Genomic DNA, 27,697 nt, shown 5'->3' on the forward strand with positions numbered 1-27,697 from the left:
CCACCCCCGTCGGCATTACTGTGTGAGCTCCGCCCCCTGCCAGAGCATTACTGTGTGAGCTCTGCCCCCTGTCAGAGCATTGCTGTGTGAGCTCCGCCCCCTGCCAGAGTATTACTGTGTGAGCTCCACCCCCTGTCAGCATTACTGTGTGAGCTCCACCCCCGTCAGCATTACTGTGTGAGCTCCGCCCCCTGCCAGAGCATTACTGTGTGAGCTCCGCCCCCTGCCAGAGCATTACTGTGAGCTCTGCCCCCTGTCATCATTACTGTGTGAGCTCCGCCCCCTGTCATCATTACTGTGTGAGCTCCGCCCCCTGCCAGAGCATTACTGTGTGAGCTCCGCCCCCTGCCAGAGCATTACTGTGTGAGCTCCGCCCGCTGTCATCATTACTGTGTGAGCTCCGCCCCCTGTCATTACTGTGTGAGCTCCGCCCCCTGTCATATCATTACTGTGTGAGCTCCGCCCCCTGTCATATCATTATTGTGAGCTCCGCCCCTGTCATATCATTGCTGTGTGAGCTCCGCCTCCTGTCAGATCAGTGGTGGCATTAGATTCTCATAGGAGTGGAATCCTGTTGTGAACTGCGCATGAGAAGGATCTAGGTTATGCCCCGCTTATGAGAATCTAATACTGATGATCTGAGATGGAACCGTTTCATCTCCAAACCATCCCCACACTTGTCAGTGGAAAAAGTGTCTTCCGTGAAACCAGTCCCTGGTGCCAAAAAGGTTAGGGACTGCCGGTTTAAATAACCAAATGCTAAAAGAACTGGCATAGAAGTAAATGGGCTGCTGCTTTATTTTTAGGCTGTTCTTTTTAGAGAGCAATGACAGTTATTTCCAAGTTTGTCATTAGAAAATAATATTAGGTTGGAGCAAAAGTAATTGCAGTATTTGCCATTGCTTTCAATGGTAAAAGGCACAATTACTTTTGCAGCAACTTAATATTATAAATTTGTTCTTAAAGTGTATTTTTGATAAGAAAGCCGTTTTGTTTTTCCTTCTGTTAATTTTTTGTTTTTTTCTTGGTCGAGACAGAGTCTTGCCATGCTGCCCAGGCTGGAGTGCAGTGGTGTGATCTCGGCTCACTGCAGCCTCCACCTCCTGGGCTCCAGCAGTCCTCCCACCTCAGCCTCCCTAAGAGCTGAGACTACAGGTGTGAGCCACCATGCCTGGCTAATTTTTAGAGACAGGGTTTCACCCTCTTGCCCAGGCTGGTCCCAAACTCCTGGGCTCAAGCAGTCCTCCTGCCTCAGCCTCCCAGAGTATTGGGATTATAGGTGTGAGCCACTGCCAGAAAAACGTTTCCTAAGACAAGGCAGGTCTTACATTATATTTAAATTTTTTTTAATGATGTCTTTTTTGGCAGTGCACAGCCAGAGGACAACACATCACACACAAGAAACAGTTGTGCTCATGTGATGGGGGCCTCAGCACTAGGAAGGAGTGGACTGTTGGCGCACGCAGCAGCTTGAATAAATCTGAAAGTCACTACGCTGCGTAAGAGAAGCCAAATAAAGCGCATGCTGTGTACAGAGGGTGTCGAGAATGCCTCCTACGTGACGGAAAGCAGATCCGTGGTTCCCTGCAGACTGGCAGGAGCAGATTCCAAAGGCACAGGAAGAAGCTTGCAGGTAGAATGTGTTCATTACCTTCTGCGCATTATACCACAAAAAAGCTGGGAATAAAAATGCTAACCAAAAAAAAAGGTGAAAGTAGATAAAATTTCTCAACTGTGTGATGGGTAAACGTGCAGGTTTGCTGTCATGCTTTGTTTATGAAGCTGTGGGGTACAAGGACTCTCATACGTCACTGTGGAATGCAGAACGTTGCAGCCTCATGGAAGAGGATTTGGCAGCATCTAACAAAACGACATGGCATTTGCCCTTAGACTCAGCAATTCTAGAATCTGCCTCAAAAAAAACTCTGGCAAAGAAATGAAAGGACTTTATCCACAGAGTTCTTTTCACAGCCTGAATGTGTTTGCCACAAAGTTCTTCACTGTGGCATTTGTAAAACTGGAAACAATCAAAATGTCCATCAGTAAGGGATTAGGAACATTAATTCGTGCAGTGGGGAACTCCGTACCAGAAGGAGGAATGAGGAACGCCTATTGATAAGGGGCAGAGTACATATAATATAATGCAAATATATATTTGCTTTTTCTTAAAACAGTACAAAGATAAAAATCTAAAGTGGTTGCTGTGGAGGACAGGGGTCAGTGGTGGAAGTGAGACCGAAATAGACTCTGAAGTAATATCTGGACTTTGAAATTGTAAGTGTTTTACATATTACCAAACTAAGTTTTTAAGATAGTCCCTAAAATTGAAAGAATGGTATCTGAAATGAATGAATCTAAATTCCTTGGATTGCATTCTACAGGCGCCAACCCTGAGACAAAAATTTGGAAGGTGGCCCTGAGCAGCAGCTGAAGGGAAGTGGGAGGTGAGACAGGAAAGAGGCGGCAGCATGGGGCGTCCGGGAGCCGGGTCTCATGTGGACAGCTGGGCCCGTGTTCACTGTGGGAGCTGGTGCGTTCCTTCACCAGCCCACGCTGCACAGGTTCAGGATGGTCAATTCCGGGCACCCCTGGCCTGCTCCAGGACATGCTGCTGCCACCAGAGAAAGCCCCTAGGCAGCGTCCCGGGTGCTGGTGGTGTCAGAATCGAGTTTGAGTCTGAGGAGTGACCTGGGGCTGGCTGGGCTAGGCAGCATCACGGGGTTCTGCAGCCCAACTGCACATCAGGCTGGTGACAGTCACGCAGCCTATTACTTCATGTGTCATCAGAGGATCGCTAGAACACAGCACTTCAAGTGTGCAGATTTAGTGAGCCATAGTCTAAAGACAAATAGAGCCACTGAATCCTAAATTTCAATCAATCATCTCCGTTACTCGTCTTATAGGTATTAATCCTTTGAAATTATGTGGGGTGGGAGTTAAAGCAAATAACTAATTATGTTAATGCTAAAACTAAGATTTTTCTGGCAAGGGAAAATCCTCCCAAGTCCCAGCACTTTGGGAGGCCGAGGTGGGCAGATGACCTGAGGTCAGGAGTTTGAGACCAGCCTGGCCAACATGGTGAAACGCCATCTCTACTAAAATTGAAAAATTAGCTGGGCATGGTGGCAGGTGCCTGTAATCCCAGCTATTGGGGAGGCTGAAGCAGGAGAATCGCTTGAAACAGGAGGCAGAGATTGCAGTGAGCCGAGATTGTGCCACTGCACTCCAGCCTGGGCAACAGGAACAAAACTCTATCTCAAAAAATAAAACAAGATTTTTCTGAGAAAAAGGTGTAAAACCGTATACTAAATTTGAAATAGAAATATAAGCGTGAACTCATTTGTTGTTCTTTTACCGTAGACACATTTTCTACCTCTGCCCCAGTAGCAGTAGACACATCAAGCACCTAGAAAGTGGTCTCTAATACATGAAAACCATGAATTCATAGTGGTGGTTTCAAAGCCAAAACCAAACAAACACATGTAATTGGTCACTCTTGGAGGTACCTAGGGCACTAACTCCTAACACTGGGAATGGACACTTGAAGGAAGATCAGTAATTATCCTGTCTTTTCTCTACAAATTGCAATTCAGGGAAACCTTGTTGATTAGGGAAAGTTCTTTACATAAGAATTCCTGCAAGTAAGTGAGTAAAGAATGACAGTTTAAGAATTGTCCCAGCCTGGCCAACATAGTGAAACCCCATCTCTAAAAATACAAAAAATTAGCCAGGCATGATGATGGGTGCCTGTAATCCCAGCTACTCAGGAGGCTGAGGCAGGAGAGTTGCTTGAACCTGGGAGACGGAGGTTGCAGTGAGCCGAGAGTGCGCCACTGCACTCCAGCCTGGGCAACAAGAGTGAGACTCTGTCTCAAAAAAAAAAAAAAAGAATTGTCAAATTGCTACCCCTAATGCCATGGTTCTCTAACCTGTGTAACAGGATCAGCTGGAGGGACGCTACCCCAGACCTTCCAATTCAGTCCTGGGGGGACCCTAGTCCAGACCTTCCGATTCGGTCCTGGGGGGGCCCTAGTCCAGACCTTCCAATTCAGTCCTGGGGGGACCCCACCCCAGACCTTCCGATTCAGTCCTGGGGAGACCCTACCCCAGATCTTCTGATTCAGTCCTGGGGGGACCCTCGTCCAGACCTTCCGATTCAGTCCTGGGGGGACCCCACCCCAGACCTTCCGATTCAGTCCTGGGGTACCCCACCCCAGACCTTCCGTTTTCAGTCCTGGAGGGACCCTACCCCAGATCTTCCGATTCAGTCCTGGTTCGGTCTGAGAATTTGCATTTCTAACATGTCCAGGGAACACAGTTTGAAAACCTCCACGGCTAACATGTAATGGGATGACATGGTCCAATAAATGAAGGAAAAATAACAGGTGGCAACCTCAGGCAGCTTCATCCCAACCAGTAAGAAAGTAAATCCTTTTGTAAACTAAGAGGAAGTATTAATATGGGCGTTTGAGCAAACATTTAAGTGTTAGGACAAAGAATTAAAAACTAGCACAGGCACCCCTGAAGCATGATAGGATGGCAACAGAAGGGCTGATTTAGTTTCCAAGAAATAACTGACAGGCAGTGTTGTGCGTGTGTCTACTACTTAGGAACCCAAAACAAACCTTCAGACCGTTTTCATGAGTACTGAGACCAAGAAAACCACTGGGCAGTGGGTGGTCTGGAAATGTAAATGTTGATGGTACTCCAGTAATGAGTCATGGAACAATGTTTCATATTGAAAATGTTTTTGTAAATGTGGGTTTCAGGGTTTCAAAGTGAACCCATATGTGTTAGGAGAAAGGACACACCAAAGAAGTAAAATAATTGGGTCAATATAAAAAGTAGAATATTGCCCAGAGAGAAGATGTGGATAATTCCTAATACGGATCAAAGGCACCAAAAAGGTGAGCTGTGAGTAAGATATTCAGACCTGCACCATCCCAAGCAGTAGCCACAGTGGCAAGTAGCCTCCTCACTGGACAGTGCAGCTACGGAATGATGCCATCACCGGAAAGTTCCATCAGCCAGCACCGATGCAGACCTTTGCAACTGCCCCTCACGCTGGACAGCACCTGTTTGATAGATTGTCCACTACGCAGTGAAAAGCCTGGGTGAAAAGCGGTATTTGGTAGAAGAGCAAAAAGGGGAAAAAAATTAAAAGTAGTAGGTCATTGTCCGCCAAACTGAATTCTGGCAGAAGAATGTTGGAAGCAAGATGGGAGCCACAGGAGAAAGTATCCTTGTCCCAAGACAGGAGGGGGTGCCAGGCATGGTTGGCTCTGTGCCTGGAATTCTATGGCCGGAATCTGGAAAAAGGAAAAGTGACTGGAAAAGGAAAGATTCTGTGTGCTTATGTCAAGATGCAGCCGTCCGTGATCCTGAGAAAATAAGTGAACAAAGTGGCTTTGGAGGGACGCTGTTGGATACACAAACAGATACAATGTGCACTTGCTATGCTTGTTCACACAAAGGACAGGATGGTCATCTGTTCATTGAACAACTACCTGTCGAGGGCCTATATGTGCCAAAGACATCAGATGAACAAGAGGGTGCACTGTGGAAAGCCTCAGGAACACAAGCGCCCAGAAACATTTAGAAAAATTCTAAGGAAAACAGAAAAGGCATTTTCAGATTAGCTCATAGAAATGAGACCAAAGGAAAGACTGGCCCAGTATTTGGATACATTATGTGATAAACCTTAACACAGGGAGGAAAGTGTTATCTTTCAATTAATTTCTCAACTTCTGGAGACCTTAGAACAGACCTGGCTAGGAGGAAATTGAATCCGAGGCAGGTGAGGACATAGTGGTGCCTCGATGCTTCCAGTGATTGCGTCAGCAGAACCAGGGGTGGGAGATGATCTCTCTTTTTGTTGGCAGATGGTGGTGTCTGCTGTAGCTTTGTCCCCTGGTGACGGGACTCAGGCAGTAACCCCCATCATTGGCAATACCCCCACCTCTGAGAATGTGGAGAGGACTTGTGAAGACAATGTTGTCCCAAGCAGCACAGCCCAGGTGCTGACAGGATTCAGAGTTAGAGCTTTCTTAGAGGTCAGGGTTGCGGAAGAGGCAGGGACTGCAGCTGCATAGTTTGTATATGTATCAGGCTAGTATCTTTTGTTCTAGACTCATCCATTTGTACATTCATATGAGTATGCATGCATGGTGTTTTTTCTTTTTCTTTTTCTTTTTTTTTTTTTTTTTGAGATGGAGTCTTGCTGTGTCACCCAGGCTGGAGTGCAGTGGCATAATCTTGCTTGACTGCAAGCTCCGCATTCCGGGTTCAAGAGATTCTCCTGCCTCAGCCTTCCGAGTAGCTGGGATTACAGGTGCCTGCCACCACACTTGGCTAATTTTTGTATTTTTAGTAGAGATGGGGGTTTCACCATGTTGGCCAGGCTGGTGTCGAACTCCTGACCTCAGTGATCCACCTGCCTTGGCCTCCCAAAGTGCTGGGATTACAGGCATTAGCCACTGCGCCCAGCCGTATGTCTCCATCTTTTTATTTCTTGCAATGTGTTGTTAAAGAAGTCAGGTGGTATGTGTACACAAGTAACGTATACTTGTTGAATATTTCTTATTTATCATACCCTGTCTCGTTCCAAAAGGATTTTACATGACTTATAATTTTAATATAATCCGGGGGAGATGGGCAGATTCAGCTCTGGGAGGCCAGCAGAATGGCTTTTAGGTCCTCCTTGGATTCAGAAAATACTTCTTGAAAGATATTTGAGGTAAATCTTACAGGATTAGAGGTTAGCCAGATGAAAAGAAATCAAGAGAGGAGAGAGGAGCCCCCACAAAGGACTGACCCAGGGCAATAACGGGGAAAGAACTTGGAGGTACAGAGGCAGACCTTGGTGTTTCCCAGGGTGTGGGACGTTGGGGGTAGTAAGGCTGGAGTGGGTAGAGGAAAGGGCTAGGGTGACACCACGGGGTATTAGGTGGAACTGAGGGAAACAGAAATAGGAGCAGAGAAAAGGGAATGAGAACGGGAAAGAGGGAGGTGGGAAATAGAAGAGGGAGTTTCCAAACAGCAACAACAACAGAAACAAGTGTTTTGGGTTGTGGAGCGTTTGCCCTGCAGAGAGCTGGGTCTGCCCTTGTCCCTTTTGGGGATTATGAATCAGTGCGTGGAGCCGCGCGGCCACATCCACCATTCACTTGCACTTGAGTGACAGCCAAGCTACAGTCATGAATACGTTTCTTTCTTTTTACAGAAGAACAGTAAATTGACTTTATTCCTTATAAAGGTGATACTGGAGAATGTGACATAGATTTGCTGGCACATGGGTTTCCTATGAGCAAACCCCAGAATTGGACACACGTATCTGGTGCTGCATTGGAATCATCCCAAAAAACCAAGGCTTGCATTGCATATCTATCTGCTGTCTGCTGAAGGAGCCCTGTCTGTGTGCCCAAGGAAGTGACATCCTTGCCAAGGGCTGTCCCTGTCGCAGGAGATGAAGGAGCCCTGTCTATGTGCTCAAGGACAGTGGCTTCCTTGCCAAGGGCTGTCCCTGTTGCAGGAGATGAAGGAGCCCTGTCTATGTGCTCAAGGACAGTGGCTTCCTTGCCAAGGGCTGTCCCTGTTGCAGGAGATGAAGGAGCCCTGTCTATGTGCTCAAGGGCAGTGGCTTCCTTGCCAAGGGCTGTCCCTGTTGCAGGAGATGAAGGAGCCCTGTCTATGTGCTCAAGGACAGTGGCTTCCTTGCCAAGGGCTGTATCTGTTGCAGGAGATGAAGGAGCCCTGTGTGCCTGAGGACAGTGGCTTCCTTGCCAAGGGCTGTCCCTGTAGCAGGGGAAAGCCTTTCAGGACCCTTTCTTAGAGAAATAGGTCTCAAAGTGAATGAATATACCTCCTCACATACTCACCAAGCAGCCTGCAGAGGATACAGCTTTCCATGTGGCTCAGGGAACAGTTGATATCAACAGTCTCTCAATTCCTTTATTATTATTATTATTATACTTTAAGTTCTGGGATACATGTGCAGAACGTGCAGCGTTGTTACATAGGTATATATGTGCCATGGTGGTTTGCTGCACCCATCAACCTGTCATCTACATTGGGTATTTCTCCTAATGCTATCCCTCCCCTTGCCCCCAACCTCCCAACAGGCACCGGTGTGTGATGTTCCCCTCCCTGTGTCCATATGTTCTCATTGTTCAACTTCCACTTATGAGTGAGAACATGCAGTGTTTGGTTTTCTGTTCCTGTGTTAGTTTGCTGAGAATGATGGTTTCCAGTGTCATCCATGATCCTGCAAAGGACATGAACTCATCCTTTTTTATGGCTGCATAGTATTCCATGGTGTCTATGTGCCACATTTTCTTTAACCAGTCTGTCATTGATGGGCATTTGGGTTGGTTCCAAGTCTTTGCTATTGTGAATAGTGCCGCAATAAACATACATGTGCTCGGGGCTGGGCGCGGTGGCTCAAACCTGTAATCCCAGCACTTTGGGAGGCTGAGGCGGGTGGATCACGAGGTCAGGAGATCAAGACCATTCTGGCCAACATGGTGAAACCCCTTCTCTAGTAAAATGCAAAAAATTAGCTGGGCGTGGTGGTGTGTGCCTGTAGTTCCAGCTACTCAGGAGGCTGAGGCAAGAGAATCGCTTGAACCCGGGAGGTGGAGGTTGCAGTGAGCCGAGACCGTGCCACTGCACTCCAGCCTGGCAACAGAGCAAGACTCCGTCTCAAAAATAATAAATAAACATACGTGTGCATGTGTCTTTACAGTAGAATGATTTATAATCCTTTGGGTATATACCCAGTAATGGGATGGCTGGGTCAAATGGTATTTCTAGTTCTAGATCCTTGAGGAATCGCCACACTGTCTTCCACAATGGTTGAACTAATTTGCACTCCCACCAACAGTGTAAAACTATTCCTATTTCTCTACATCCTCTCCAGCATCTGTTGTTTCCTGACTTTTTAATGATCACCATTCTAACTGGTGTGAGATGATATCTCATTGTGGTTTTGATTTGCATTTCTCTAATGATCAGTGACGATGAGTTTTTTTCATGTTTGTTGGCTGCATAAATGTCTTGAGAAGTGTCTGTTCATATCCTTTGCACACTTTCTGATGGGGTTGTTTGTTCTTGTAAATTTACTTAAGTTCCTTGTAAATTCTGGATATTAGCCCTTTGTCGGATGGATAGATTGCAAAAATTTTCTTCCATTCTGTAGGTTGCCTGTTCACTCTGCCTGGTCATATGCAGAAAACCGAAACTAGACCCCTTGCTGACACTTATACAAAAATTAACTCAAGATGCATTAAAGATTTAAACGTGAGACCTAAAACCAGAAAAATCCTAGAAGAAAACCTAGGCAACACCATTGAGGACGTAAGCATGGGCAAAGACTTCATGACTAAAACACCAAAAGAAATGGCAACAAAAGCCAAAATTGACAAAAGGTATCTAATGAAACTAGAGAGCTTCTGCACAGCATGACTGTATTTCAGTGCACGTTTACCACCGAGCTCTTAACGCTCCACCACTGTCCTGTGTCATTAGGATCCCAGCTCTGCAGCCATTCCTCTAGTTGGGCCTGGGTCGGCTCTGGGATGCCGCGGGGGGGCCGGTCGGCGGCGGAGGGGCCAGTGGGGACCCGGGGCAGGGGCGGAGACCCCTCCCACTGCACATCCCACTGCCTGGGTATCTGGCCCCCAACCGGCCTGCCCGCTGCTCCCACCTCCCATGGTGGGTCGGGGGCTGAGGGCTGGGGACTGGGGCAGGGTACCCCAAATATCTCTCGGTGGCGATCGCTCAGTCCGTGCAGTCCATCCAGCTCCTGCATTGTCCGTCCTACCAATAACCTCTCACTTGCAATTCTCAGCCCCTTCCTGCATTGTCTCCCTGTGAGACCTACTAGAACCCCCGCCTTTCACACTGCTGACCTGCTGGGGGAAAATGCACAGAGGCAGAGACGAGGCCACGCGGGAGTCCTGATCTCTAACCCCAGCCGGTCTCAGGCCTTGCCGAGGCAACGCTGCTTCCCCAGACACTCTCCCTTTCCCATTCTTTTTTTTTTTTTTTTTTGAGTTGGAGTCTCGCTTTGCCACCCAGTCTGGAGTGCAGCGGCGCGATCTCAGCTCACTGCACCCTCCACCTCCTGGGTTCAAGCGATTCTCCTGCCTCAGCCTCCCAAGTAGCTGGGATTACAGGCACACACCACCATGCCTGGCTAATTTTTGTATTTTTAGTAGAGATGGGGTTACACCATGTTGGCCAGGCTGGTCTCAAATGCCCGACTTCAGGTGATCCACCCGCCTCGAGCTCCCAAAGTGCTGGGATTACAGGCGTGAGCCATCGCGCCTGCCTTTACTTTCCCATTCTTAACGCCTCCCGTTTCAGACCTGTCCCCTTTTCCCCGCATTTCTGACTGTCACGGCACATCACAACCAGCAGACAGGGCTTCCCCTATTTCACAGGAGAAATAGAAGCCATCAGATGGGACCTCCTTCAAAGTCCTGCCACCAAACCTCAGCATGTACCTGGACCCACATGTATCCTCTTTTCCTTTGGGATTGAATTAGAGAGGTGCCGCTCGAAACCCGCTCCTGGGTGGGAGTCTTGGCTCTATCAGTTATGCCTCTATTCTGTATGTTTAACCTCGCCCTCGTAGGGGCATAAAACAGCATTTAAACAGGATCAAGCTTTCCATTTTAAAACTCCATACACTCCCTTAATTTCATCTCCTCCTCCACCTACTGCCCCATGTCTCTCCCTCTTCCTGGCTAAACGTCTCAAAAAAGTGGATACACTTTCTGTCAACTCCTAAACACTCCTCACGCTCATTTGGCCTCTGCTCCTCCCTTCCTCCTCCCACTTCATTGGAACTACTTCTGCCAAAGAGGATCCCTGAGTCAGCCTGACTGGTAACCCCAATGGACTCTACTCAATATGCAACATCCTTCACTTCTTAGCAGAGTTTGAAACAGCCTGACTCTCCTCTTCTGGCAACATTCTTTTCCTTGGTTTGGGGACGCTGTACTGTTCTGGTTTTGCCCCTCCCTCCGAGCATTCCTTGTGTTTGTCCTGGCCCATTTTCTCCTCTCATTCTACATCCTCTCCCCGGGGATTTTAGCTTCTCTCACGGCTCAGGTTACCATCTCCATAGTGATGACTATCAAATTCTGTACCTCATTTCCAGAGGCTCCTGACAGACTTGCTTGGTCAATATACTACTGGACATATTCATGAGACTGTCTCACACAGGCATCTCGAACCCAGTGTGTCCCACAATTCTCTTCCTATCCATGCCTGTTCCTCTTCCACTGCCTCATATGTCGGTGACTGTCCACCTTCTCTCTCTCTCCCCCTCTCCGTTTGGCTCATAGGAAAAGTGTCACCAAGGGCTGTAAGTGCAGATTTCTAATTATCCCCTAAATTTGAACATTTTTCCTCTCGAAAGTGTATGGCCATTACCCTATTACAGATCAACATCTTCAATCACTGGAATGATGGCAATAATCTAATTGGGTTCATTTTATCCTCTATCTAACAATGACAACTCATTGCCTACACAGCAGGTAGAAGGAGTTTGTTTTCAGAATTGCCCTCTGACCTATTTAAGACGCTCAGATATTCCCTGAGGCTCCTTGGCCTGGCCACAAAGGCCCTACACATTCTGGCTGCTTCCTCCTTTCCAGCATCCTCTCTCACGTCTCCTCTCCTCAGTTCCACCCTCAGGAGGCACCAGAATTCCTCACTTCTTTGACTACAAGGCACCGTCTTACTCCCAAGACCAGTGAATCCGAAGGTGGACCACCAGCTGAGGGACTAGATTCCAGACTGAATAGAACAACTTTCCCTGTCTCTCCACATAAAGTGTGTTTGTTTTTCCTCTTACAGGTTTCCTTAATGACAACAAAAAAGGGAGTAATCCTACCCACTGTAAGAGTCATGACTCTTGATTGCAGCTGACAGAAACTCATGACAGCCTGCTTTAGATGAAGGGGGAGAGAAGGACTGGAAGAATCTTGGAGTTGGGAATGTCACACGTAATTGAAGGAAGAACAAGAAAACTATAGTAAAGAACCCTGGGGTGGTGATGTAGTCATGGGCCAAGTGTCCTGGAACCCTGGGGTGGTGATGTAGTTGTGGGCCAAGTGTCCTGGAACCCTGGGGTGGTGATGTAGTCATGGGCCAAGTGTCCTGGAACCCTGGGGTGGTGATGTAGTTGTGGGCCAAGTGTCCTGGGTTTTGGGTGGAGAAAGAGTCCCCTAGATAAGTTATTAGGTGGGTGCAAAGGTAATTGCAGTTTTTCCCATTATTTTAATTGCGAAAACAGCAATTACCTTTGCACCAACCTGATGGAGTCCCCCTTGCCATGCTTCTCTCTGTGAAAAACCCCAAGCCGAAGTCAGCATAACATCCACAGGACTCTATGTTTGCAAAAGCCAGCTTAGCTATATTACATGTATAAGCACATTTTTTCAATAAGTCAGCCTTAGCTTACTGTAACTTTTTAACTTTATAAACTTAGTATTTTAACTTTTTAAACTTTTTTGTTGAAAACTAAGACACAAAAACACATGTTAGCCTAGATCCACACAGGGTCAGGGTCATCAGTATCACTGTCTTCCACCTCCACATTTTGTCTCTCTGGAAGGTCTTCAGGGGCAATAACACACATGGAGCTGTCATCGCCTGTGGTAACAATGCCTTCTACAGTACTTCCCAAAGGGCCTGCTAGTTCACTTAATTCTTTTATAGAGAGAAGGAGTACACTCTAAAACACTGATCAATAGTATATTATAGTAAATACATAAACCAGGAACACATTTATTATCATTATCACGTATTGTGTATTGTACAGAATGGTGTGTGCTGTGCTATCCAGGAACACATTTATTATCATTATCAAGTATTGTGTACTGTACAGAATGGTGTGCGCTGTGCTTTTATGCAAGTGGCAGCACAGTAGCTTTACACGAGCATCACTAGACACATGAGTAGCATTGCACTCGGCAACAGGAATTTTTTCAGGCCCATTATTATAATCTTATGGGACCGCATCCTATATGCAGTTTGTCATTGACCAAAATGTCCTTATGCGATGCATGACTATATTTGCAAAGGACTAGTATCTAGAATACATTTAAAAGTCTTAAAATAGTAACAAAACAAAGAATGCAATTAGAACATGAGCAAAAGATACAAAGCAACATTTCACTGGAGAAGATATACAGATTGCAAATAAGCACATGAAAAGATGTTTGATACCATTAGGGAAACGCTTCTTTAAACCAGGAGATATCACCACGTGTTAGAATCAACAAAATAAGGCCAGGCATGGTGGCTCACACCTGTAATCCCAACACTTTGGGAGGCTGGGGCAGGCAGATCACATGAGATCAGGAATTCAAGACCAACCTGGCCAACATGGCAAAACCCTGTCTCTGCTGAAAACACAAAAATTAGCCAGGTGTGGTGGCACACGCCTGTAGTCCTAGCACCTTGGGAGGCTGAGGCAAGATAATTGCTTAAACCCAGGAGACGGAGGTTGCAGTAAGCTGAGATCATGCCACTGCGCTCCAGCCTGGGCGACAGAGCAAGATTATGTCTCAAAAAAAAAAAAAAAAAAAAGAATCACCAAAATAAAAAATAGTAACAATACTATTGTCAAGGATGCAAAGGAACTGTACCACTCAATCACTGCTGTGAGAATTTAAAGTGGTGCAGCCACTCTGGGAAACAGCTTGGCTGTTTTTTTTTATGACTGAATGTGCAACTACTATATGATGCAGTAATTTCATTTTTGCACATTTATCCCGGAGAAATGAAAACATATATTCACACAAAACCTGTATATGAATGCTAATAAAAGTCAATTGGCCAGGTGTGGTGGCTCATGCCTGTAATCCCAGCACTTTGGGAGGCTGAGGCAGTGGATCACCTGAGGTCAGGAGTTTGAGACCAGCCTGGCCAACGTGGTGAAAACTCGTCTCTACTAAAAATACAGCAATTAGCTGGGTGTAATAGTAGCCACCTGTAATCCCAGCTACTGGGGAGGCTGAAGCAGAAGAACCTCTTGAACCCGGGAGGCAGAGGTTGCAGTGAGCTGAGATCGTACCACTGCACTCCAGCCTGGGCGATAGAGTGAGACTCTGTCTCAAAAAATAAAATAAAATAAATAAAAAGATTAGATAATCTGCAAAGTTCCTGTGAGCGCTGTCATTTTGTCACTCTGGTTTTTCAGATTCTTCCCCTGGAGGCTGGAGTTTCCAGGATGTCAAAATTACCTCTGCTTGGGTGAGCTATTTCAAGCAGCTGGGATACCTGTGTCACTCCTGCTGTCTGCCAGTGACTGCCCAGGTGTCTGCTGGTTCCTCCCCAGGAGTAGGGAGGAACCAGGTGGGCTGGCTGGGATGGGTGGATATTTAAAGACCAGGCCTTGGACGCTGCAGCACTTCTATCTCTGCTTGATGCCTGCTGCCACGTGGCTGGTCCTCCTCCTCCTGCTGTGGCTGAGCCTTGGGGTGAAGACAGGTGAGGAGCTAGGCTGGCATCTGTGCTACAGGTCAAAGAGACCCCAATCTCTGCTCTCTCATTCATTCAATCAATTAATCTGTTTTGTCTCTGGCATGACCCACCTCCTGTGACCCAGCATTCATTAATTCATTAATCAAATAATTCATGTATTCAGACACTTATTAAGTACCGACTATATGGTTGATGTGGCTTCTTTGTGTATCCAGTTTTATATCTGGATAAGATGTCTTTGGATGATCAGCTTGGGAGGGTCTAGTATCCAGAGGATGCTCCCTCGGATAGAGGCAGCGTGGGCACTGTGGGTGGCTGGGGTGGACGGGACAGGAGGGAAGGTAGGTGTGATAAACCCAGATCCAGATTAACAGGCAGACTCACTGGGCAATTTCCAGGCACCAGTCTACTGGGTTTATTCAAACATCCCTGGAAATACAACAGGGTGAATACAGTTGCATTTACTAGAACTTCTCTCTCTCTCTCCTCTCTCTCTCTTTTTAATTTTTTTTTTTCCAGACAGAGTCTGCTCTGTCCCCCGCCAGGCTGGAGTGCAGTGGTACGATCTCGGCTCACTGCAACCTCCACCTTCTGGGTTCAAGCCATTCTCCTGCCTCAGCCTCCCGAGTAGCTGGGATTATAGGCATGCACCACCATGCCTGGCTAATTTTTGGCATTTTAAATAGAGACAGGGTTTCGCCATGTTAGCCAGGCTAGTCTTGAACTTCTGACTTCAGGTGATCTGCCCACCTCCGCCTCCCAAAGTGTTGGGATTACAGGTGTGAGCCACCGTGCCTGGCCCTAGAACTTCTCTTGGGAGAAAACTAGATGTCATTGGTAGGAACACAGTCAGCTGTTGCTTAATGATGGAGACACATTCTGAGAAATGCATCATCAGATGATTTCTTTGTTGTATGAATATCATAGAGTTCACACAACAATGAAATCGAGAGTTTACATAAACCTAGATGGTTTATATATATATTTATTTACATGTTTGTTTTCCACATGGAAAGCCACATGTCCCAGCACATGTCCCATTACTGAACATCAGTCATTTCCCCTGCTTGATCCTCAAGGCCAATATCGAGCACCATATATCGGGTTTCTGCATATGCCCTATTATAATCTTATGGGGCCACCGTCATATATATGGTCCATCATCGGTCTAAACATCGTGATGTGGCACAAGGCTGTACTTCTTGGCTGGGTGCGGTGGCTCACGCCTGTAATCCCAGCACTTTGAGAGGCCGAGACGGGTGGATCACTTGAGGTCAGGAGTTCAAGACCAGCCTGGGTAACATGGTGAAATACCATCGCTATTAAAATACAAAAATTAGCCAGGTGTGGTGGTGGGTGCCTGTAATCCCAGCTACTTGGGAGGCTGAGGCAGGAGAATCACTTGAACCTGGGAGACAGAGGTTGCAGTGACCCGAGATTGCGCCACTGCGCTCTAGCCTGGGTGACAGAGGGAGACTCCATCTCAGGAAAAAAAAAAAAAAAAAACCCAAAGCTATTTATTGTGGAAAAATTCAAACACATGCAAAAGTAAAGAGAATAGGATGATGAACCCAAGGTACCAGTTGGCCACCTTCAATATTATCAACATTATGCTCAAGCTCTTATCCCCCATATTTAAAAAATATAACCACAATACCTTATCAGAGCCAAAACAAATATGGTCGCACACCTGTAATCCCAACACTTTGAGAGACTGAGGCGGGCAGATCGCCTGAGGCCAGAAGTTCAAGACCAGCCTGGCCAACATGGTGAAACCCCTGTGTCTACTAAAAATACAAAAATTAGCTAGGCATGGTGGCGGGTACCTGTAATCCCAGCTACTCGGGAGGCTGAGGCAGGAGAATCACTTGAACCAGGGAGGTGGAGGTTGCAGTGAGCCGAGATTGCGCCACTGCACTCCAGCCTGGGCAACAGAGCAAGACTCTGTCTTTAAAAAAAAAATTAATTAATTAATTAATTTAAAAAACTACTTACTATCGTTTAATACCTATCAGTGTTCATATTTCCCCCACTTGTCAAAAATATCTTGTTATTCAGCAGCAAAGCAGAAGAGAAAAAGAAAAAATAAGATCAGATGTGGTGGCTGATGCCTGTAGTCCCAGCACTTTGGGAGGCCAAGGTGGGAGGATCACTGGAGCTCAGGAGTTTGAGACCAGCCTGGGTACAATAGCGAGACTCAGTCTCTACAAAAAAAAAATTTGTTTAAAAATTAGCAAGGTGTGTTGATGTTCACCTATAGTCCCAGCTATTCAGAAGGCTGAAGTGAGAAAATTGCTTGAGCCCCAGAAGTTGCGGCTGCAGCGAGCTGTGACCATACCACTGCATTCCAGTCTGCTGCACCGAGTGAGACCATGTCTCAAAAAAAAAAAAAAAAAAAAAAAAAAAAGAAAGAAAGAAAAATGCCTTTTTACAGCTGGTTTATTCAAGTCAAGATCCAAAAAAGATACGCACACATGTTTAACTAGCATATTTCTTAAATGTCTTTAAATCTATACCTAGATCAGTGCCATTTTTTCATGTCATTTAGCTGTTGAACGAACCAGGTACTGTGTCCTGCGGCATATCCTACCTTCTGGGTTTGACTGATTGAATCTTTGTGGATGTCCCTCTGCCTCTGTCTTTCCTGAACTCTGGTAGTTGAGATCAGGACTGGAGATTTCTTAGGCAGGAAGAATCCATAGGTGGGTACTTCCTATCGCACCTCGAAGGAGACACAAAGTGTCCAGCTGTCCCACTTTTACTGGTGTTAAACTTCATCCACCAGATAGTGCACCCATTATAAAATTCTGTCCACTAATGATTTGTGCTGAGATCCACTTCTCATTAGGGGCTGCCAAGTAGTGCTTTTCTATCATTCTTTCTGCACTTGTTAGCCGAAGGTTCTCTGTCGTGAAGATATTTCCCTTGTCAACTATTTGGCTTGGATGGAAAGGCTGGATCAATGTTTGATTCTTTATTTTTCATCTTCATAATAATGAGCTAGCTCCTCGGCACCCCGGGGGAAGTTGTCTTCAAATGCTGCCTTGAAGCATAGAATATTTAATTCTAATGGATATGGGAGGGAAGGGCCTTCCAAGCCGAGGGAAGAGCTTGAGCAAAGGCTCAGAGGCAGGAGAATGCAGGGTGTTTAGAGAACAGCAGAGCTCCGTAGCACGTGCAACAAGAGGCTTTTTGAGTGAGGACCCTGAGCACGATATGGTGGGAAAGCAGGGGAGAGGTCAGGATTGCTGGTTTGACTCCCAGCCATGGGCAAAAGGTTCTCCCCTTGTCTATACAATGAGGACATCTCTCTAGATCAGTGGCTTTCCAACGTTTCTGGCCCCAGTTCACTTTAATAAATACATTTTATACTCTGACCCAGTAAGTGCATCTGTGTGTATAAAAACCAACAGAAATTTCAAAAAGAACTCAGTTGACTTTTACATACAATGTATGTGGGTCTATTCTATTCTATTTCATTCAGTGTCATCCTGTTGAAATAAATGTTGGTTATGACCACTGAATTGAACTCAGTCTCACAGATTGTCGGCAACCTTAGTCTGGGTGGCTCCTGGGGCTCTATTTCCACTCCAGCCCTTTCTGGTTGATCCCTGGTCTTGGTGACAACCTGACGCAGCACCAGGCTCTGGAGAAGAGGGACAACATGAGAAGAGAAGCTGATCACTTGCAGGAGGCTCCTGAGCTGAACATGAGGCAAAAGCCAGGCCAAACTCAGAGGCTGTGGCCCCAGCCAGGCCACCCTCACCTTCAGAGTCTTGACCCCCCAGACCACACTACCGGACACCTGCTGGCCCTGTTTCCACAACAGACTGGCTCAGCCACACCCAGGCCCACAGGGCTCAGAGGCCTGCTCCCTGTTGATCGTGTCAACTTTGAAAGGCCTTCAAGTTTATCCCTAAACAAAGCCCTCCAGTTTAGCCCTAAAGAGCCAGGTGTTAACCTAACAGGAAGCAATTTGGAAGGTCAAAGTCAAGTAGACGGAGAAGAGTGTTGAGAGTCCTGGGGTGACAACACCTGGGTCCCCTGCTCACCTGAGCCACAGACTCGCCAGGTAACTGGGCCAGCGTCCCTCCTGCCCACGCCTTGCTTGCCGCACTCTTAAAGAAGATGCATCCCCTTCTCTTGGAGGGAATGACAATGACCAGATCACAACTGAGCTGAGCAATTTGGGGAAATTTGGGCAGGGGGTAGAGTTGGCAGAACTGGTTTGTAAACAGGGCTCTGGAAGACCTTCCTCTAACTGTGGGGAGTGGGGGAGGGGTTTCTCTCCCTCTTAGGCACTCTCTTCTCTGCTGTTTTCTCTATTTCTCTCTTCGCTGTCACTCCCATTACCGTCCTCATCTTATCTCCCCCTTTTCTCTCCTTCTCTCTCTCTCTGTTTAATAACAGCTTTATTGAGAGATAATTTACAGGATGTGAGATTTACCCTTTTGTACAATTCACCATGTGTACATTTCAGTGTTGTTCAGTGTATTCACAGGGTTGCAGAACCATCACTGCTGTCTTATTTTATTTTTTTGGCACTTTTTGGTAGAGACAGGGTTTTGCCACGTTGGCCAGGCTAGTCTCAAACTCCTGACCTCAAATGATCTGCCCGCCTCGGCCTCCCAAAGTGCTGGGATTACAGGTGTGAGCCACTGCGCCTGGCCACCTCTGTCTAATTTCAGAACATGTTTGTTATGCCCCAAATAAACTCTGACCCATCAGCAGTCACTGCCTGGTCCACACATCTCACCAGCCCCTGGCAACCACTAATATACTTTCTGTCTTGATGGATTTGTCTATTCTAAACATTTCATATAAATGGAATCATACAATACACGGCCTTTTGTGAGTGGCTTCTTTCACTTAGCATGTTTTCAAGTTTCATTGTTGTTGTGGCATGCATCTGTACTTCATTCCTTTTTATGGCTGAGTAATATCCCATTATATGGATATACCAGATTTAGTTTTAGCCATTCATCAGTTGAAGGGCATTTGAATTGTTTCTACTATTTGGCTATTATGAATAACACTGCTATGAATATTCATTGATAGGTTTTTGTGTGAACATGTGTTTTTAATTCTCCTAACTACAGGCTCAGAAGTAGGGTTTCTGGGTCATATGGCAACTCTATGTTTACATTCTGAGAAACTGTCAAATTGTTTTTCTTTTTTTTCTTTTTTTTTTTTATTCTTTTCTGCTGCCACCTCATCTCCCCAAATTGATTTTCAAAGTGGCTGCACCATTTTGCAATTCCACCAGCAGTGTATGAGGGTTCCAATTTCTCCACACCCTCAGCAACACTTCAACACTTGCTTTTTTTTTTTTTTTTTTTGAGATGGGGTCTCGCTCTGTCGCCAGGCTGGAGTGCAGTGGCGTGATCTCAGCTCACTGCGACCTCTGCCTCCTGGGTTCAAGAGATTCTCGTGCCTCAGCCTCCTGAGTAGCTGGGACTACAGGTGCATGCCACCACACCCAGCTAATTTTTGTATTTTTAGTAGAGACGGGTTTCACTATGCTGGCCAGGATGGTCTCAAACTCCTGAACTCGTCATCCACCCATCTCAGTGTTCCCAAGTGCCGTGATTACAGGTGTGAGCCACCCCACCCAGCCAACACTTGCTGTTTTATTTTTTATCTTAGCCGTCCTACTGGATGTGGGGTGGTATCTCATTGTGGTTTGGATTTGCATTTCCTTATGATTAATGATGTTGAGTATCTTTCATGCTCACTGGCCACTTGTGTATCTTCTTTGGAGAAATGTCTATTTAAATCCTTTGTCCAGTTTTAAATTTGATTGACTTATTTTTATTTATTTATTTATTTTGGAGGCAGAGTCTTGCTCTGTTGCCCAGGCTGGAGTGCAGTTGTGCAATCTTGGCTCACTGCAACCTCCACCTCCTGGGTTCAAGCAATTCTCCTGCCTCAGCCTCCTGAGTAGCTGGGACTATAGGTGCATGCTACCAAGCCCAGCTAATTTTTGTGTTTTTAGTAGAGACGGGTTTCACCATGTTGGCCAGGCTGGTGTTGAACTCCTGGCCTCAAGTGATCTGCCTGCCTTGGTCTCCCAAAGTGCTGGGATTACAGGCATGAGCCACCGCACCCAGCCAGTTTCAGCTCTTACATTTAGGTCTATGGTCCATTTTGAGTTAATATTTGTATATGGTTTGAGGTAGGAGTCCAAATGCATTCTTTTGCATGTGCTTATCCAGTTGTCTAAGCACCATTTGTTAAATCTATCTTTTCTTTTCCTTTTTTTTTTTTTTTTTTTTTTTTTGAGACAGGGTCTTGCTCTGTCACCCAGGCTGAAGTGCGCTGGTGTGATCATGGCTCACTTCAGCTTCCTGCGTCTGGGCTCAAGTGATCTCCTGTCTCAGCCTCCTGGGTAGCTGGGACTACAGGCGTGCACCACCATACCTGGCTAATTTTAATCTTTTTTTTTTTTTTTAATGTTCCTTTTTCTCCAGGCAGCTGCTCCCAACCCCAGAACCTTTGCTGTCTTGGGACGGATCACCGCTGCAAGAGGGGAAGTTGCTACTGTGATGAATTCTGCCATGTGGCACCAGACTGCCACCCAGACCACAGTGTCCTCTGCAACCCTGGTAACTCACATACAGGCCCGATTCCACCTACAGCAAAGCTGGATGCGATGGCTGGCAGAGGCAAACCCTTTGCCTGCACTTCAGGCCAAAGCCGGGATGTGGCCTAGATGGTTCCTAAGGTCCCTGACAATCCTGAGATCTTGCATCTTGTCTATTTCAGGTCAAAGGTGCCTACATGCTCCTTCTAGCTTTGTTTCCCTGATGTTCCTTGCCACCTGCTACTCCTCTCTGAGCTACTTTTCCAGGTTCCACAGGGAGAGGTTCAGCTGTCCGTGGTAGACATGAGGGTAGAGAATGAGGTGGTTGGGTTCCACTTACCTTTCTATCATCTTGCAGTATGGATGTCTCTTGACTGGTACCGTGTAGACTTTTGAGGGCACACAGGAGTCTGCAGAGAGATACTGGGGACATTGAGCAGCAGCAGTGGGGTTGGGAGGCAGAAATGAGGACAGGAACATTTACCTTGTGTTTCTCTCAGCTTCTCAGATGACCAAGATGGTGCTGCAGATGGTGCTGAGGATGGAGAACCCACCAAGCCCCGCTAGGAGCCACCTAGACTGGATGCAGAGCATGGTGAGCTCCCTGCAGGTTCTCTGAGAAGGGGTGGATGGCAGCCTGCTCCTTGCCTTTGTGCCCTCCAGGCCCCAAAGTCAGGGAACCAAAAGAAGAAAGGGGCCGTAGCTAGGGCAGAGCTCCACTGCAATGATTGTTTTAGGGGTAGGAGCCAGGATTGCCGTCTGTGGACACTGAAATTTGAATCTCATATACTTTTGTGACAAAACATTCTTCCTCTTTTGTTCTTCTCCTACCATCTAAAAATGTAGAAAACATTCTTAGCCTATGAGTTGCACAAAAACAGGCAGTGGCCAGATTTGGCCCATAGACCATAGTTTGCTGACTTCTGCCCTAAATCATCCTCCATTTCTTTCCTTCTGTGTCCTTGTTACTGACAAAGCCACTTTCCCTAAAATGGGGTCTTTCCCTGTTTGGTGCCATGAAGCCAATATGCAAAACCGAAAGTGAGCCTCAAGCAGTGCAGGCTTTATTTGGTGGCCATGGAATTGAGAAGTGAGAGCTTGGCTCACAAATCAACTTTTCTGCTCGTGAGACCCAGGAAGTCACAGATACAGGGCATCTTTAGTGAAGGGGCTGAGCATTAAAAGCAAGGGGAGGAGTGGCCAGGTGCAATGGCTCACTCCCATAAACCCAGAACTTTGGGAGGCCAAAATGAGAGGATTGCTGAGACCAGGAGTTCGAGACCATCCTGGTCAACATAGTGATACACCCCCATCTCTACAAAAATAAAAATGAAAAAAGCAAGGGGAGGAATCATGTGTTTTCTGGGTCTGGGTGGAGAAATTTTCAAAACCAGAGTGCCACCTTCCTATTTGTTTTTTTATGTTATTTTTTCCCATCATTGTCATGTTGGTTGTTGACTGTTACGGTGTTAGTGGGACTGTCATTTAACATGGAAATTAGATTATAATGAAGTTAGAGGTCAAATGAGCTGCCATCTTGGATTCCATCAGTCTTAGCTGGTTTGATCACCAGGGAGAAGTTTGGACCTCAGGCATCCTGCTTCCTAAAGATAAACAGTGTTAAGGCAGGGTAGATATTCACGGAGGTCATGTGGGTATTGCACTGGATGACATCTTGGCTTCAGCCCTGATCTGTTCAGAGCCCTCAGCACGGTACTGGAGGAGAGGCCTTGGGCCGCATCGTGGCATATTGTGGCTTTGGGGAGAAAGAAAAGCAGATAGTGCAATGGAAAGAGCGTGGACTTGAGAGTCAGACTTGACTTCAACTCCTAGCTCTACCACTTACCACCTAGGTGACCTCAAGCCACTTTCTCAGCCTTTCTGAGACTCTGTATCCTCATGTGTATCCTAGAGTTTGTCTGATAGGGCTATAGTGAGAATTAATTGAATTAAGTATAGTGAGAATTAAGCCAGGTCTGGAGAGGCCTGGCTACTGGTGAGTGAGGTAACTGAGATCAGGTATGGAGAGGACTGGCTCCTGGTGAGTGAGTTAATTGAGATGAGGTATGGAGGGACCTGTCTCCTGGTGACTGAGTTAATTGAGATGAGGTGTGGAGGGACCTGGCTCCTGGTGAGTGAGTTAATTGAGATCCATTAGGGAGGGACCTGGCTCCTGGCGAGTGAGTTAATTGACACCCGGTATGGAGGGACCTGGCTCCTGGCGAGTGATTTAATTGAGACCCGGTGTGGAGGGACTTGGCTCCTGGTGAGTGAGTGAATTGAGATGAGGTATGGAGGGACCTGTCTCCTGGTGAGTGAGTTAATTGAGATGAGGTGTGGAGGGACCTGTCTCCTGGTGAGTGAGTTAATTGAGATGAGGTGTGGAGGGACCCGGCTCCTGGTGAGTGAGTTAATTGAGACTCGGTGTGGAGGGACTTGGCTCCTGGTGAGTGAGTGAATTGAGATGAGGTATGGAGGGACCTGGCTCCTGGTGAGTGAGTGAATTGAGATGAGGTGTGGAGGGACCTGTCTCCTGGTGAGTGAGTTAATTGAGATGAGGTATGGAGGGACCTGTCTCCTGGTGAGTGAGTTAATTGAGATCAGGTATGGAGGGACTTGGCTCCTGGTGAGTGAGTTAATTGAGACTCTGTGTGGAGGGACCTGGCTCCTGGTGAGTGAGTTAATTGAGATGAGGTATGGAGGGACCTGGCTCCTGGTGAGTGAGTTAATTGAGATCAGGTATGGAGGGACCTGGCTCCTGGTGAGTGAGTTAATTGAGATGAGGTGTGGAGGGACCTGGCTCCTGGTGAGTGAGTTAATTGAGATGAGGTATGGAGGGACCTGGCTCCTGGTGAGTGAGTTAATTGAGATCAGGTATGGAGGGACCTGGCTCCTGGTGAGTGAGTTAATTGAGATGAGGTATGGAGGGACCTGGCTCCTGGTGAGTGAGTGAATTGAGATCAGGTATGGAGGGACTTGGCTCCTGGTGAGTGAGTTAATTGAGACTCTGTGTGGAGGGACCTGGCTCCTGGTGAGTGAGTTAATTGAGATGAGGTATGGAGGGACCTGGCTGCTGGTGAGTGAGGTATGGAGGGACCTGGCTCCTGGTGAGTGAGTTAATTGAGGTCAGGTATGGAGGGACCTGGCTCCTGGTGAGTGAGTTAATTGAGATCAGTTATGGAGGGACCTGGCTCCTGGTGAGTGAGTTAATTGAGATGAGGTATGGAGGGACCTGGCTCCTGGTGAGTCTCCTGGAGGCAGCTGCTATCTGGGAACACAGGCACAGGTGGGAACAGACCTTCACTTCCTGCTCACTTAGGTTCAGTGAGTTCTCCAAACCAGCCTCCCAGGAATGCCATTCAACATGGCTGTGAGGAGAATAAAGAAGAGAGCCTGACTCCTCTCCTGAGGCCCCTTCCCCACCCTGAGCCAGCAGGATCCACGGAGCAGAGGTCATCTGTCCCCAGCTTGGCCCACTGAGGCCAGCATGGCTGGGCCCAGGATGCTTGTCTCTCAGCTCCCATCCTGTGTACTTCCACATTGGTTTAACCAGAGGAAAACCGAAATCTACAATTGTCATAAACACATTTAAATGTGCGTAGAATCAGCCATACAAATTGTGAAACATACATTTGGCTCATGGTATTATTCACTGTTTTGTGGTGGTTACAGTGACTATAGCAAACATTTCTTGAAAGTAGAAAATAAGAACCCAGCACCCCTTGAGCTAAGTAATGTGCCCTCTGTCCTCAATATTCCTTCCTGGGCTCCACATTACTGCCCTTAAGTCTGGAAATATTCTGGTCTGAGCCCCGTAGTCCAGGCCTCATGTTCAGGCTTTCTGTCCCCAGTGATGAGAGGAGAGACGGCAGACCTGTCTCCGGTGAGCTCAGATGGGCCTCCCGGAGTCTCCTGGGGTGCACAGGATTTCAAAGATCCAGGAGGCGCTGCCAGGGGCTGTGAGGTCTGATGAACCTCTCACCTTCCCTCCCACACCTGCCCTTTTCCTGTTTCTGTGGATGCTTTTGCTGTCCTTGGCTTCCTGGACTCCAGACCTCAGGGTCATCTTTTGCTTCTCTCTGCAAGGTGCCAAGTCTCTCTAGGTTTTTGTTTGTTTGTTTTGTTATTGAGACGGAGTCTCACTCTATTGCCCAGGCTGGAGTGCAGTGGTGCGATCTCAGCTCACTGCAACTTCCGACTCCCTGGTTCAAGCAAATTCTCCTGCCTCAGCCTCTGGAGTAGCTGGGATTACAGGCGCCCGCCACCACGCCTGGCTATTTTTTTTTTTTTCTAGTAGAGATAGGGTTTCACCATGTTGGCCAGGCTGGTCTCGATCTCCTGACCTCATGATCCACCCGCCTTGGCCTCCCAAAGTGCTGGGATTACAGGAGTGAGCCACTGTGCCCGGCCGTCTCTCTAGTTTTACTTTGCAATGTCGTTCATATCCATCCCCTTTCTAGTGCCACTGCTGAAGTCCTAAGTCACTGCCTCCTAACTGGTCCTCCTGCCCTAACTCCTCCCTGACCAGTCCTCCAGCCCTAAGTCTCCTCCCTGACCTGTCCTCCTGCCCTAACTCCTCCCTGACCGGTCCTCCTGCCCTAACTCCTCCCTGACCGGTCCTCCTGCCCTAACTCCTCCCTGACCGATCCTCCTGCCCTAACTCCTCCCTGACCTGTCCTACTGCCCTAACTCCTCCCTGACCGGTCCTCCTGCCCTAACTCCTCCCTGACCAGTCCTCCTGCCCTAAGTCTCCTCCCTGACCGGTCCTCCTGCCCTAAGTCTCCTCCCTGACCTGTCCTCCTGCCCTAACTCCTCCCTGACCAGTCCTCCTGCCCTAACTCCTCCCTGACCGGTCCTCCAGCCCTAACTCCTCCCTGACCAGTCCTCCTGCCCTAAGTCTCCTCCCTGACCGGTCCTCCTGCCCTAACTCCTCCCTGACCGGTCCTCCTGCCCTAACTCCTCCCTGACCGGTCCTCCAGCCCTAACTCCTCCCTGACCGGTCCTCCTGCCCTAACTCCTCCCTGACCGGTCCTCCAGCCCTAACTCCTCCCTGACCAGTCCTCCTCCCCTAACTCCTCCCTGACCCGTCCTCCTGCCCTAACTCCTCCCTGACCTGTCCTCCAGCCCTAACTCCTCCCTGACCAGTCCTCCAGCCCTAACTCCTCCCTGACCGGTCCTACTGCCCTAACTCCTCCCTGACCGGTCCTCCTGCCCTAACTCCTCCCTGACCAGTCCTCCTGCCCTAAGTCTCCTCCCTGACCGGTCCTCCTGCCCTAAGTCTCCTCCCTGACCTGTCCTCCTGCCCTAACTCCTCCCTGACCAGTCCTCCTGCCCTAACTCCTCCCTGACCGGTCCTCCTGCCCTAACTCCTCCCTGACGAATCCCCCTGCCCTAAGTCTCCTCCCTGACCGGTCCTCCTGCCCTAACTCCTCCCTGACCGGTCCTCCTGCCCTAACTCCTCCCTGACCAGTCCTCCTGCCCTAAGTCTCCTCCCTGACCGGTCCTCCTGCCCTAACTCCTCCCTGACCGGTCCTCCTGCCCTAACTCCTCCCTGACCAATCCCCCTGCCCTAACTCCTCCCTGACCAATCCCCCTGCCCTAACTCCTCCCTGACCGGTCCTCCTCCCCTAACTCCTCCCTGACCTGTCCTCCTGCCCTAACTCCTCCCTGACCGGTCCTCCAGCCCTAACTCCTCCCTGACCCGTCCTCCAGCCCTAACTCCTCCCTGACCTGTCCTCCTGCCCTAAGTCTCCTCCCTGACCAGTCCTCCTGCCCTAAGTCTCCTCCCTGACCGGTCCTCCTGCCCTAAGTCTCCTCCCTGACCGGTCCTCCTGCCCTAAGTCTCCTCCCTGACCAGTCCTCCTGCCCTAACTCCTCCCTGACCGGTCCTCCAGCCCTAACTCCTCCCTGACCGGTCCTCCTGCCCTAAGTCTCCTCCCTGACCCGTCCTCCAGCCCTAACTCCTCCCTGACCGGTCCTCCTGCCCTAAGTCTCCTCCCTGACCGGTCCTCCTGCCCTAAGTCTCCTCCCTGACCGGTCCTCCTGCCCTAAGTCTCCTCCCTGACCAGTACTCCTGCCCTAAGTCTCCTCCCTGACCGGTCCTCCTGCCCTAAGTCTCCTCCCTGACTGGTCCTCCTGCCCTAAGTCTCCTCCCTGACTGGTCCTCCTGCCCTAACTCCTCCCTGACTGGCCTCCATCCAAGCAGAGCTTGAGTATTGCTGGTTCCCTGCTCAAACCCACCACTGGTTGCTGGTTCCCTGCTCAAACCCACCACTGGCACTGGCTTCCCATCACATACAGAATAAAGGCTAAATGTCTGTGCTTGGCACAGAAAGTCATCAACAGGCCCCAGAGCACGTTTCTGGTGTTATCTTCTGCTAATGCCCTGCCCTCACTCCTATGCTGCAGCTGAATGGAACGAGCCATTATCCCCTCAGGAACGCTGGCTTCTCAGTAAACGATTATAGCCCAGAAGCTCTGTCATCACAGAACCTAGCTATTGGCTAATGGGTCAGCTTTGGCTTCATTTCTCTGAATAATTTATTTCAAAACATAATCCCAAGGAACAAGGTTAGGAAAAGGGGAGGGTGACAGGGACAGAGGGAGAGCCTATGC

The 27,697-nt window shown here is 48.1% G+C and overlaps 2 long non-coding RNA genes, 1 other non-coding gene and 2 pseudogenes across 4 annotated transcripts in view, besides 3 other annotated features; all 5 read left to right on the forward strand.

Annotated features, from left to right (window-relative positions):
- The window catches only part of SDHAP2 (SDHA pseudogene 2), a 30,833-nt pseudogene extending 29,126 nt beyond the window's left edge, over window positions 1-1,707 (forward strand). The window contains exon 15 of the transcript NR_003265.3: window positions 1,369-1,707. The product of NR_003265.3 is annotated as an SDHA pseudogene 2 (transcript). The remainder of the gene's footprint in view (window positions 1-1,368) is intronic.
- Window positions 1,334-24,711, forward strand: MIR570HG (MIR570 host gene). The gene is made up of 5 exons (NR_122105.1): window positions 1,334-1,633; window positions 2,175-2,274; window positions 20,970-21,104; window positions 21,583-21,677; window positions 24,402-24,711. It is a non-coding gene; the product is annotated as an MIR570 host gene (long non-coding RNA).
- On the forward strand, window positions 9,381-11,906 carry LOC124909477 (uncharacterized). The gene is made up of 2 exons (XR_007096227.1): window positions 9,381-9,425; window positions 11,866-11,906. It is a non-coding gene; the product is annotated as an uncharacterized LOC124909477 (long non-coding RNA).
- MIR570 (microRNA 570) lies at window positions 12,237-12,333 on the forward strand. Its single transcript, NR_030296.1, has one exon. It is a non-coding gene; the product is annotated as a microRNA 570 (primary transcript).
- SMBD1P (somatomedin B domain containing 1, pseudogene) lies at window positions 14,444-24,541 on the forward strand (annotated as a pseudogene).
- Window positions 17,888-18,459: an enhancer, noted in NCBI's record as "NANOG-H3K4me1 hESC enhancer chr3:195431923-195432494 (GRCh37/hg19 assembly coordinates)". NCBI's record gives its function as "activates a minimal SCP1, AML or CMV promoter by ChIP-STARR-seq in naive H9 embryonic stem cells {active_cell/tissue: H9 hESC(naive)}" and the evidence as "EXISTENCE:reporter gene assay evidence [ECO:0000049][PMID:30033119]".
- Window positions 23,272-23,943: an enhancer, noted in NCBI's record as "H3K27ac hESC enhancer chr3:195437307-195437978 (GRCh37/hg19 assembly coordinates)". NCBI's record gives its function as "activates a minimal SCP1, AML or CMV promoter by ChIP-STARR-seq in naive H9 embryonic stem cells {active_cell/tissue: H9 hESC(naive)}" and the evidence as "EXISTENCE:reporter gene assay evidence [ECO:0000049][PMID:30033119]".
- Window positions 23,944-24,614: an enhancer, noted in NCBI's record as "H3K27ac hESC enhancer chr3:195437979-195438649 (GRCh37/hg19 assembly coordinates)". NCBI's record gives its function as "activates a minimal SCP1, AML or CMV promoter by ChIP-STARR-seq in naive H9 embryonic stem cells {active_cell/tissue: H9 hESC(naive)}" and the evidence as "EXISTENCE:reporter gene assay evidence [ECO:0000049][PMID:30033119]".

Source organism: Homo sapiens, chromosome 3 (genome assembly GCF_000001405.40).
Source record: "Homo sapiens chromosome 3, GRCh38.p14 Primary Assembly".
Lineage (NCBI taxonomy): Eukaryota > Metazoa > Chordata > Mammalia > Primates > Hominidae > Homo > Homo sapiens.